The 13715-nt window shown below is 38.4% G+C and overlaps 1 protein-coding gene across 61 annotated transcripts in view; it reads right to left on the bottom strand.

Annotated features, from left to right (window-relative positions):
• The window catches only part of EPB41L3 (erythrocyte membrane protein band 4.1 like 3), a 238278-nt gene that overhangs the window by 36973 nt on the left and 187590 nt on the right, over positions 1-13715 (bottom strand). For all 61 annotated transcript variants that reach the window (NM_001384702.1, NM_001384706.1, NM_001384705.1 and 58 more), the window contains 3 exons: positions 8677-8752; positions 4545-4763; positions 4111-4198 (listed from right to left, as the gene is read on the bottom strand). In NM_001384702.1, coding sequence (NP_001371631.1) covers positions 4111-4198; positions 4545-4763; positions 8677-8752 — 383 coding nt within the window. The remainder of the gene's footprint in view (positions 1-4110; positions 4199-4544; positions 4764-8676; positions 8753-13715) is intronic.

The raw sequence follows: 13715 nt of genomic DNA on the forward strand, positions 1-13715 counted from the left end.
ATGTACCACATACAGTCTTTCCCCATGCTTTAAGTCAGGGTAAAACGAACATTTGTGGTGGCCATGAATGAAGGAAAAAGACAGGACACAGGCAGGATTGTAAGTGAGGTCAGAGTCCACCCCTGGTCCCACTGATTGTTGGAAGCAGGGGACAGAAAGGGTCATGAGCTGAGCATCCATTGGAAGCTATGCCCAGGTCTGCTGTCAATGCAAGGCAGGAGATGGAAATTTCCAGAATCAGAAATACATATACTGGTCCATCTCTGGGACATGTAAGTTTGCCAACAAAGCATAATTGGTTTAAAATGAAATATTTTACTTTGGAAACGTATCACTCCATGACACACTGAATTACTCTGCAGGAGTGGAAATATTTGATGGCAGGATATTACAATATAATAAAATTTGAGGAGAACTCAAAGACTGGAAACTGCCCACCATTTATCTAGGACTTTAATTTGAAAGAGTGATTTAAAGAGCTGTAACCTGATGCTGACACACAGCTGGCATTACTGATCCTTTAAAACCAGCCAATCTGTCTGCGCCACCACTCAGAGATGACCACCTTACGCCATCGGCAGAGTGCAGGAACGAGGACGCACTGCCAGAATCACTGCTCTTTGACTCATTTTCTTTTTGGTAACTATAGAACAGGACTTTAGGAAGTGTACCTTTAACCTACTGAGGGAAAGGACATTCGAAACCTTTTCCATTATTAGATAACAATAAAACTTTTAATAAAAATTTTAATCACCCGTTAATTCTTTGAATTTTAAGAAAACAGTAGCTCCCTTCATGAGGAAGATGAAGAAGGCTCCGATGCCTCCTCTTCTTGTCCCCTCCAAAACACACCTCTCTGTGTCCCCAAATCAAACTGTTATCTCTAGTACACCCTTAGCAAATGGCACTGAAATAAACTACCACTTGTCTTCCTTCTCCTGGAGACAAAAGCTGGTTGAGAGCAGGAGCTCTGTTTATCTTTGTAATCTCACGGCCAGCGCACTGCCTACCTTGCATGCATGAAGCCATTACACATTTGTTGAAATAGAGGTTAATGAAAAATGAAAACGGCACAAACGAGTGCAGTTTTAAATTGGATGCAAGTCTCCATTTCATTAATCGCACGGCAAAAAAAAATGATACTTTTCATCTCAAATTTTCTGCCACAGCCCACAGTATTGAGGTTAGTTTGAGAAATCTTTTTTTTTTTCTTTTTTTTTTTGAGGCAGGGTCTCCCTCTGTTGCCCAGGATGGAGCGCAGTGGTGCCATCTTGGCTCACTGCACCCTCCACCTCCAGGGGCTCAAGCAACCCTCCTCCCTCAGCCTCCTGAGTAGCTGGAACCACAGGCACGTGCCACCACACTCGACATTTTTTTTTTTTTTGGTAGAGATCGGGTTCTGCTACATTTATTCTATCAGGTCTCGAACACCTGGGCTCAAGCAATCCCCCTGTCTCAGAGTGCTAGGATTACAGGTGTGAGCCACCTTGCTGGGCCTGAGAAATCTTTGGTTTTAAAAGTTATGACAACAGGATTTCTTAAGGACATGTGCATTCCACTATCAATAAATACATGTGCACTCCCTTTAGCAAGGAGCACTGGGGTGTACCCAAATAGTCTCTGTCATCATGAAAATAAAGGGGCATACGATTTCTTTAATTCAACATCAGTGTTTGAACTTTGCCATCCTGCTCTGTGGTATATCCTATATGGACTTATATCTACATTTCAGAATCTTACATAAAATAAATGACTCTGACAAAGCCTATCAAGATGCACATTAAGTGACAAACAAGCAGAGACAGATGTACAAAGAAAAAACAAAGCATTTGGGTTTTCCAAAACATAGGACCTTTGTGTAATATGGGTATTTATTCTTCATACAGGATTCCAGATCAGAATTTTTAAATGGATTGTAAAGCTCAGGGTCTTTCACACCGTCAACAGAAGCGAGGCATCTCGCTCATAACCGGAGATTAGTTCCAATTTGTTTCAGTAAATTTGCTTCTTCAAATGATGGAGTTTGGCTGCATGGGAAAATGGAGTCTATAACTGAATTATCTGTTATACTTAATATTCAGAAAAATTCCTATAATGCTACAGTTGCGCTTGCTTAATTCTTTCTTTTTAATTGGCATAATTTGAAATCACATTATTAAATGAAAAGGCAGCCATCTATTTTAATTCTGTAGCTATAGCAATGTTAAGTGATTTTATATTTACTGATAGAAACACTGATACATCCTGAGGTGCACTTCCTGAAATGCATATCCTAATCTTTTATTTACTTATTTATTTATTTATTTCTGGGCAGTAAGAGAATCAAAGTGTGTGATGTAACTCAAAAATAGCTTCAGATTCACTCAAATTCTCAGGCTCCCTTCATTTCCTTCTTGTTTCCTTATCTTTTAGCCTCTTAGGGGGAAACACTAAGAGAAATTTAAAAATCTTAATGTCTGTTCTTATTTTCATTTTGAAATTCTCACTCTACCTTGTACCTAACATATAATAGAAAACATCTTTGTTATCTGAGTGCAAAATAGGTGAAAAAGTGTAATAATGAACTGGCAAGTAAACAGAGCTACACCTGCTGTTGTAATTATACACAAATGTCAAAGAGCTTGGCATTCAACATAACAGCACATCCCTGGTGTGAACCTCCGCCAAGTCACAGAGATTTTGCTAGTGCTCAGGCCTTGGAGAGCTCATCCTGCATGACGTGCAGAGTGATCCGCGGCAAAACCAATCAAACCTGCACAGATTCAAGGGCCACTATTCTCCCCAAATCCCTGTGGATTAGTCTGCTCTCCAAAAGCTAACCAAAGTGCAGCCCAACTTCCAGTATCAACAGAACCTACAGATCACAGAGCTCCCTGCAATGGGTCCGCAGGGGTGCTGAGGTGTTTGCTCGAATGGAGCCAGCTGAAATTCTCTTCATTTCCAGGCCCTAAACCTGACTGTTTAAGACACTCGTTGGCCTGGAAACCTGTAACTGCACATTCTGTGAGTCTCAGACCATGAAATCGGTGACTAACTCTGTCCATAAAAGTCAAACACACATCCCTAAACAGGAACAATGTCATCCTGTTGGACCCAGTCAGAAGAAACAACCTCTGACCTTAACATTGACCTTTTTAACACTGCTAATGCATCAGAATCCAAACCTAGGATCCTAACACATTTTACATGTTTTGCTAATAAAAGTTTTCATAAAAGCTTCCTTGTATTTCCACAAGACTTTTATTCTGGGCTGTTTAAAAAGACTAGTAGTCCTATCTTCATTCTACCACTACTGAAAAGTACGAAGATTCCAGGAAAAGCATGACACAGAGTCAAAGCTGCTCTGTGTATCCTCACGACTGTAACCCTCCTACAGTCTCAACCCAAATTCTTTGTACCCAAGACTCCATTCCCAAGATACACCTTTAACATTTCATCGATCACCAGTCAACGAAGCAAACCTTAGCCTAGGTGAACTTTAAAACAACAACCTTATTTCAGAGCTCTGATTATTTGTCAGAGTGCCTAAACTTTAGAGGTAGACTTCTTAAATTCAATATGAATTTACTGACTGCCTGGTATGTATGAAGGTAGGGCCACACACAGTGTCTGGCACTTAATGAATGTGATGCTTGAGTCTTGGACAATCGGCTGAGTTCGGACAGACAGATAGGAAAGAGGAGGATAGTCCAGAGACGGACATAGTCAGGGAAAGCGTAGAAACAGAGTCTGATGGGAGCAAAGGTTATGTGACGGCACAGAGTGGGAAATACGACTGTGATGGGGAGGCAGGGTGAAGTAAAAGTCTGTTATGTCAAGGTAGGTTTCTAACTGCATCAAAAGGCAATCAGAGGCTTTGCCTATCACGGGCTTTCAGAAGGCTGTGCCCAGGAGTAATGCAAGTTTGAGACACAAAGAGCAAACCCCTCAGTAAATATCAGAAAGCTACATTTGTTGTATCGTGGAGTAGGGCTTAAAAGACAAGCAGAGATTTGAATTCTCAGAGGTTTCATTTACATTAACTGAAGTAAAAATCACCAGCTTACAGTAATAACAACATCAAGTTACATAATATTAAATTGAAAGTTTAGGGTTTAAAAAGATGCATACCTTAGCATGATGTAAATCTACCCCATACATTGATAATTTTTTGGCATTTTCCAAGAAATGCATCTCTGCTTCTGCTGGCGTCATTCCTCTGATGAGAAGAAAAATATGTTACAATGATGCTTTTCCCTTCCCTGGTAGGCTGCAATATTTCCCACTTAGTTCCATGCTATCTCATAAGAAGTCCTATGGAGGCACCAGCAGATACATGAGAAAAGAATAACAAGAAAAAGGGCTTTGCAAGAAAGCACTACAAACGAACACCTGGATGCTCTGAGTGAGAGCTTGCCCATCTCAGAATTTTACTGTGCATGGACCCACACTATGCTCACGTCTCGCCGTTAATGGACTGAAATCAGTACTGGGAAGAGGTGGGTTGTGTGCGGGACACTCTCCCATCAAGGCACAACTTAAATGAACACCTTTCTGCCTCTAACCTGTGGCTCTTGTGCAGCTCGATCACTTTGTCTTCCAGTTCTTTAGTGTGGTTTGGTGCAAAGCGGAACTCACTAATGTAATCGCTCCCACATTCATCTGGGTCATAGTCTCCGAGCTCTGACTGGACAGTGTAGGAGCCCAGCAAGGCCAGGGTAACAAAGGAGCAGGGCAGCCTTCCGGACACGATGTCATCTCGCAACTGCAAGCAGAGGTAGTACCTTCCAGGAACCAAAAGCACAACACAACGAAGGCAGCATGAGGATACAGGAAAAGGAGGTCGCTTGGTAAAAATCGTGGGCAAATAATTTCTCCCTGTAGAACAGCCTCTCTAGGATAAATTTTCTAGCGTCTATATATTTTGATATTTACTTCATACATACTTGTTCTAGATAGAAGGGAAAAATATTTGGTTACAAAAGACAGTATTTAAAGGCATTTAGAAGCAAGTCGACGTTCATAATAGGGTTTTATTAATAAAGCACAGTCTAAAAGAAACTTAAAGACATATTCTTCTAACATCTTTTAAAATAACTTTTAAAGTCAAATGAACAGTCCCCAATACAGTTCCTGAAATCCTTGGGTGGGGGAATTATAATGTAAAAATGTTCTTAAGTACAGTTATGTGCCACAAAACGATGTTGCAGTCAATGATGGACCACATATAAGATGGTGGTCCCATGAGATTATAATGGAGCTAAAAAATTCCTATTGCTTAGTGACGTCATAGCTATCTTAATGTCATAGCCTAACACATTACTCACGCCTTTGTGGTGGTGCTGGTGTAAACAAACCTACATGTATAAAAGACTAGCACATACAATCATGTGCAGAACTTAATACTTGATAACAAGTGACTACGTTACTAGTTTATGTATTCACTATGCTATACTTTTTATCATTATTTTAGAGTGTACTCCTTCTATTTGTAAAAATAAAAAGTTAACTGTAAAACAGCCTCTGGCAGGTGCTTCAGAGGTATCAGAAGAAGACACTGTTATCCTAGGAGATGACAGCTTCATGTGTGTTACTGTCCCTGAAGACCTTCCAGTGGGACAGGATGTGTAGGCGGTGACAGTGATACTGATGATCTTGACCCTGTGTAGGCCTAGGCTAATAATATATGTGTTTATGTCTTAAGTTTTTAACAAAAGAGTTTTAAAAGTAAAAACAAATTATAAATTTTAAAAATAGAAAAAAACTCACAGAATAAGGATATAAAGAAAGAAAATATTTTTGTGCAGCTGTATGATGTGTGTTTTAAGCTAAGTGTTACAAGAGTCAAAAAGTTTAAAAAGTAAAAAAATTACAGTAAGCTAAGGTTAATTTATTATTGAAGAAAGAAATTTTTAAAAATAAATTTAATGTGGCCTAAGTATACAGTGTTTATAAAGCCCACAGTAGTGTACAGTAATGTCCTGGGCCTTCCCATTCACTCTTCACTCACTCACTGACTCATTCAGAGCAACTTCCCGTCCTGCACGCGCCATTCATGGTAAGTGGCCTACACAGGTGTACCATTAAGAAAAATCTTTTATATTATATTTTTATTGTACGTTTTCTATGTTTAGATACACAAATACTTACCATTGTGTTATAATTTCCCACAGTATTCAGTATAGTCACATGCTCTACAGGTTTCTAGCCTAGGAGCCATGGGCTTTATCCTAGAGCCTAGATGACTAGCAGGCTCTACCATTTAGCTTTGTGCAAGTCCACTCTTAAGATGTTCACACAACAACAAAATCATCTAAAGATGCATTTCTCAGAATGTATCCGCATTGTTAAGTGACATGACTGTGTGATTATTAGGCCCCAATTAGCCTTATGGAAGTATTTTGATATTAAGGTGACAGGTCTTACTATACGAGCAAAACAGATTTCAGGTAACTCAATAGCTATGTCATTATAAACTTCACTCTCAATTTCCTGCATTCTTAATGAGGTAGTCTCTTTATAATAACACAATTTCTCCTGTTTTCAGTTCTCATTTTTAGAATTTAGATAGCTTCTTAAAATCTATCTAAGATATAAAGAATTCCTACCTTAAAATTCGAGAATCTTGTCCCCATAAATAAACAGTTTTAAACTGGAGAAATTAACATTTTCCATATAATTTTGCCATATCATAAAAATATGACCTACATAAAAATATGTTGATTTGTCTTCTCCGTTATTTTGCTTTTGAGACTTACAGATAAATTACTAACTGCCAAAGACCCCAAGGTAAGTGTTAACATTGATGAGTTTTAATAATCCCAAGCACAGCCTAGTATATGGATAGAACAAAGCACACCTGGTACCTTGTATATAAGAAATGAACTGTTCATCTATGGAAGCAGAGGACTATGAGAAAGTTTAAAGGTCCCCTCTAAATATGATTTTAGGCAAGTGACATAAATCCATGTAATTATGACAAAAAAATCCTTAAACATTTAACAGCCTCAGCTCTACAAATATTACATGAGTCAACAGAAAGAAACCATGCACTACATTTTCTTTCTTTTTTTTTTTTTTTTTTTTTTTGAGACGGAGTCTCACTCTGTTGCCCAGGCTGGAGTGCAGTGGCGCGATCTCGGCTCACTGCAAGCTCCGCCTCCCAGGTTCACGCCATTCTCCTGCCTCAGCCTCCTGAGTAGCTGGGACTTCAGGCGCCCGCCACGATGCCCGGCTAATTTTTTGTATTTTTAGTGGAGACAGGGTTTCACCGTGTTAGCCAGGATGGTCTTGATCTCCTGACCTCATGATCCACCTGCCTCGGCCTCCCAAAGTGCTGGGATTACAGGCGTGCGCCACCGTGCCTGGCCCACCATGAACTACATTTTCAAATCCAGGTATATGTGGGCTCTAAAACCACAAATTAGCCAAAATAAAACAGTTCTTCAATAGCAACTAAAAACTATCTTTAAATAAGAAATTATAACTTTTCTCTGATTTATTGCAATATAAAAAATCCTCTGGAACTAATTTTTACCCTTCTCTTAATATGTCTGGTGAAATTATTTTTAACTGTAGCAAGTGATTGAAGTTGTTTTGAGTAATTTCCCTTTTCTGTAAAGCCCTCCAAAAAGAATGCAAAGCTTACACAGAAAATTCTGCATACACTGCACAAAATTGCTTTGACTGGTCATAAACTTACTACGGAGCTGAGCAAGAGAGTAGGGGTTCTAAGGTGAATGGAGAGAAGCCTAGAAGGTCAGAGCACACCAGAACAATGAACTGAGTGTCTGTGTCTCCTCCCCTCCAAATCCATATGTTCGAATCCTACCCTCAAGGTGATGGGATCACAAGGTGGGGGTCTCTGGGAAGTGATTAGGGTGGAGCCCTCATGAATGGGATTAGTGCCCTTACAAGAAAGGCTGGAGAGAGAGAGACCCCCTCACCCTTTCACCACATGAGGACACAGTAAGAAGTCAGCATTCTGCAACCCAGAAGCAGATCCTCACCAGGACCTGACCTGCGGGCACCCTGATCTCAAACTTCTAGTCTCCAGAATGGTGAGAAATAAGTTTCTATTGTTTATCAATCAACCACCCACTTTATAGTATTTTGTTACAGCAGCCCAGACTAAGACATCCAGTACAGCTTTATAATGAGATCCCCTTTCACACTCAAAGCTGTTACCAAACTGAAATATTTTAATGTTTTGATTTCTTGCTTAATATCTTCTTTCTAGAAAACAAATTAATCATTTTCCTTGTATATACAGGACATAGAAATTAAACACTTAAATTTATGTGTGTGTGTATGTGTTGGTTATATAAAAAGCACAAGCATCCAAGGACATTTTTACTCTAAGTATTAAAGCAGAAAAACTAAGAGCTGCTATATCATACAAGGCTGAATTCCATCCAATTTGACTATGGTAGGTGGATGACAGTATCTCAGTTCTGCAAGTTTTCCCACCAGGGTCAAGCAGAGGGAATATCAGCCTGGCACCAAAGATTCAACAGTGAAAAGATAGGAACTGGCAAATCTCATCAGATGTTTGCTCTCGTTCATTTGCCTTTTGTTTGCCATTTGAGCGTGGATGATTGTAAGGCTACCAGATGTAAGCACGCTCTTTCCGGAGCATTTAAGAGAAGCACAACTCTCCCAATATGCTTGTCTTTTGCATAGCCAACTTTCAAATACCTGGTGATATCTTCAGATAGTTGGGCAGGGTCTGGTGGATAAAATTTCACATTAAATGAAAAGTGCCAAGCACCACCTGCAAGGATGGAAAAAAATTAGAGTAAAACCTTGAGAAATTCTTATGACTCTAATCGATGGCCAGAACTGCCTTAACTCCAAGCATTAACACCCAGGCAACTTTTGACCATTAATGGAAAACTGGGAAACCTTGGTCACATGAAATCTACAGATAAGTCTGAAACCTTGTCTAACTTCTAATCTTCTTCCCAATCAAATCCTTTATTGGTACTTTTAACTAGTATGGAAACTGATCAAACTTCCTACCCTTTTCAGAATCAAAGGTAAGCAAGCACTTGGAAGAAGGAAAAAACATGAGTGACACGAATAATCTTCAATCAGATAAGTCTGGGAGTGGCTGGATTTATTGCTGCGAATTTCTGCATAGCTCACAGATCAACACCACAATCATAATTCCCATTTTCTTTGTCCTTTCTGCTCTGTTATTACAGGTCATATCCAATTATAATAAATGTCAAGGGACTATTCAACATACGTTTATTTTATGGGAAAGGTTTGTTGCAGTGAACAGTGTTCTAGTAAGTGGGCTGCTCTGTGGGCTGTTGAAAATTATTTTCTTGCTCAGGGAAATTTTTGATGAAATAGGTACTTGAATGTATTTTCTGCATATTGCCAAATTTTGCACCTGCACCTCCTCAGCCTGAGACTTAGCCAGATCCTCTTTATGCTTTGCAATCTTTATCCTGTGGCCTCTACTCAAGGCCTCTCCAGCACTGAAAAGGGTCAACCAGGAGTCAGCTCACAAGTATCTACTCTCTGTATTGTCAACACATATCCTTGAAACATTATGAAGCCTTAACTAAGCTCCACATCTCATTAACACTAACTCTAATTGTATATGGTTTATCAATATAAACATGGAAAATACCCTTTTCTTTTTTTCCACATTTACTATGTGATCATTACTGTATTCACTCTGTTCTTCCGGCCTTCAAATGCAGTAACTTACCAAAGTCTGGGTATCTCTTCTCTGTGGTGCTGTTCATATTTGTTCCCTCTACCCAAGAGGTACACTAGAGCCTAGGTCCTGCTTGTATTTCGAATGGTTTACTGAAAAATTCCTCCCAGTCCCCCAGGCTTCCACCCTGGAGGTCTTTCACCCATGCCTCACCCAGCGGCCACCGACTTGCCCTTACTCTAGGATTCTGACTTCACAGTCCACCCCTTATGCTTCCAATACTCTCCCAAGACTTCCAAATCTCCCTGTCTCTCCATTAAATGACTTCTGGAAACTCCATTGCTCCATGAGCCCTTCCCAAACATTCAGAAGAAGGTACAGTACTGTATTTCCTAGCTCCTTTCTCTGAACTGTTCTCTTGCATCTGAGGCAATACTTAGCTTCATCAGTTTCTTACATTCTGTCATAAATGGCATAGATCCATCCATGTATTAGTTATAGTTAATTCTTAACACTACCATTGACATCACATTTAAGATTCCACATGGCAGGAACTCTACCTGAGGTGCCCTATAAAGGATTTACCATAGGACCAGGCATTAGTGGGAACTTAATATCATTTTTAAACCATTCAAAATATATCTGTCAGTCAAACACATTTTCGTAATTGTTTTTCCCACTGTTCTCAAAAAAGTACTTCTGCTTTTCCAAAAATATTCTGATTTGGTTTTATTTTCTTATTGATTCCTATTCACTTCCTATTAAAATAGATCCCTTCAACGCTTGCCAGTGGTAAGGTTCATAATGAGATCTGGCTTTCCCCCAAGCAAGTGGAATTAAAACTAATGGATTAGTTATGGGAAATGGATTTATTGCTCTTTTATAATTTTTATTCACTTCAAAGCAGGCCCTGAATCCAATGAATAGTTTAGCAATGTAATTATACAATCTTATAATAAATATCCAAGTTAGACACTAATAAGTAATAAAAAATACAGAAAAGACATTTAATGCAAAAATCCTCATTCTAGGAAAGCAAGTTTCAACCTATAGTGAGCCGAAGAAATACCTGAGGTACTTGTTAAAAATGCCAATTCCCAGGCTCCACCCCAGAGATTTTTATTCCAGAGATTTGGAGTATGGCCTAGGAATCGATGGCTTGAATAAGCTTCCTTATGTTTCTAATAATAAAAATGGGCTTTGGAACCACATTTTGAAAATCACTACTGCTACTAAGGAATCTACTTCCCTAAGGTTATAACACACAAAAAACACATCTTTCAGGACAGTATTTTGAAACAATGGGAAAGTGTACAGAAACTATAATACAATCTACACCCCAATAAAGAAAAAAAAGTCCAGTTAAATGGGGCATAACACTAGAAATTAAGGAGAGAGGCAGATTAAAGCTCAAATACATATCCCCATAAAGAATATGACAGAAACAAATCCACTGAGAAGGAAGTGCTTACGCAATAAATAAGTTTGCAACTCTACATCTGCTCAAATGAGGGCCCTAGTTAGAAAGAGGAAATGAAACAGCTTGAACACATTAAAATGAATATTTCTATAATGCTGATGTGGAATTTTAAGTTACAAATTTATGATAAATAGAAAATTATAACACTGATGATAGTTCATTCTTATGAAAAATTTCTAATGTTAGTCTTTTATGCCAGACAAATCTTAAAATTTCTAATATACTGCATTTATATCATAAAAGTGCGATATATGCTCTATGTCATAAAATTACTGTATCATAAACATACTTAAAATCACAAAATATAGTCTATTTAGAAATTTTAAGATCCTGCATGCTTAAAAGATGACTGGAATAAGAATTTTTTTCATAAGAACTCTTCAGTTTCAAAATTTTGTTTTTTAGAAGCAGGGTCTCACTCTGACACCCAGACTGGAGTGCAGTGGCACAATCACAGCTCACTGCAGCCTTGAACTCCTGGGCTCAAGTGATCCAACCCCCTCAGCCTCCCTAGTAGCCAGGACTAACTAACTACAGGCATGTGTCTCTGCGCTCAGCTAATTAAAACAATTTTTTAAAAAAATAGAAACAGGGTCTCATTATGTTGCCTAGGCTGGGCTTGAACTTCTGGCTTCAAGTGGTCCTCCTGTCTTGGCCTCCCAAAGAACTGGGATTACAGGCATGAAGTTTTAGAATTTTCTATTTATCATAAATTTGGACTTAAGATATTTGTTAGCTCGGTTTCCATTTTCTTAGAGATCTCATTCTAAAGGAATACTGTGAGCCCACAGCATAAAAAGCATGGAAACATCCTTTTATCATTTATATTTTGGAAGTGGAGATGATGGTACAATAATTACATTAGATAAGGTAATACTTCTCTGCCTTGGTTGAATGTAAAATTTTGTGGCAAGAGGGCATTTTAGTGGATGGGAAACAACAAAGAATACAGGTAAAAATATCGAATTCCAATTTTTTTTTTTTTTTTTTTTTGACACGGAGTTTCGCTCTGTCGCCCAGGCTGGAGCGCAGTGGCGCGATCTCGACTCACTGCAAGCTCCGCCTCCCGGGTTCACGCCATTCTCCTGCCTCAGCCTCCCGAGTAGCTGGGACTACAGGCGCACGCCACCATGCCCGGCTAATTTTTGTATTTTTAGTAGAGACGGGGTTTCACCGTGTCAGCCAGGATGGTCTCGATCTCCTGACCTCGTGATCCGCCCGTCTCGGCCTCCCAAAGTGCTGGGATTACAGGCGTGAGCCACCGCGCCCGGCCTCGAATTCCATTTTTAAAGAAATTCCAACTTTCCTTATCTCCTTTATCTGCAAGACTGTCAGTTTTCTTTATGGCAAAGTCATATACACTGCCTAATCTGCATGATAAAAAAATCTTTTAAAACTCTTGTTTTGATTGTCTTGTCCCTTTAGCTTTCTTCTCTTTGAAAGGATGGTAGAAGACACTATAAATGGGAAGTTAAAGAAAAAATGAATCCTATTAATAACAAAAAAGAAAATTAGTTTATACAGCCTTTCCTGTCATGGTATTATGACTTATCCTTGAACATTTTATATATTTTCAAAGTACTTTGCAATTATTAATCAGCTCAGTATTCCATTAATTAGATGAATAAGAGAACTTTATGCACACAAAATGTTAGGATATATATTCAGCATGTCTATTTTAGTAACTCTTTAATACTCCTTAGAAAAATATTTATCTTAATTTTTTTCTTAGGATTCCTCAGAACAAAAAATAAGTAGTGTTTTCACCTATTTATCACAACTACAGCTATCCCTGGTTTCCATCTCAATTAACTGTTTCTATTAACCTAATTTGTTATCAAGTTTCTGGGTAGTGGATACATCAAATTTCCCTCAAACATACGGTAAAGATGTCTTAATTGTATAAATAATCACCCGACTCTCTTATATCTAGAAGTATGGTTATACTTTTGTCTTTCTGGGATATTACCTAGTATTGAACCATTTCCAAACTGCTCACTAGTGATTATGTTTTATTAGTACTTGGGGTATTATTTTGATAGCTCACGACTTTCAAAGGCACTGAGAAGTATTTGCTTGCTCTTTTAATAGTAAACTGTTGAAAAGTTTTACTTATTGAAATGGGAATGATGTTCTTATTAATAAACTGCTCTTAAATGTGTTCTTTAACTAGAATTAGTTGTTTGGAAGAATTTAGACTTTACTGACAAAAATATGAATAAAAACGTAGTTATTTTAAATTAGTATCCATGTTTGCGGCAAAAGTAAGAGCTATCGGAAAGGGTAAAAAAATTTTAAAAACTCCTCCTTCTCAACCCCGACACTGGATGATACTGCTGGAGTAATTACTATTAAAACCTTCCTGCCTTCCAAAAGTTTTCCATGCATCTATACAGACATAATTTTTTAAAAACAAACGTGATTATGCTATAGATAATATTTTGCAAACTGATTTCCACTAAAGAGAGCTAAGATGTATTTATATGGCTCTTCCATGATTGACTTAATAATTTCTTTATACATGGATAATTAAGGTGCTTCTAGTTTTCTGCTACTGTAAATAGTAATATAATGAAACTTCAT

Source organism: Homo sapiens, chromosome 18 (genome assembly GCF_000001405.40).
Source record: "Homo sapiens chromosome 18, GRCh38.p14 Primary Assembly".
NCBI lineage: Eukaryota > Metazoa > Chordata > Mammalia > Primates > Hominidae > Homo > Homo sapiens.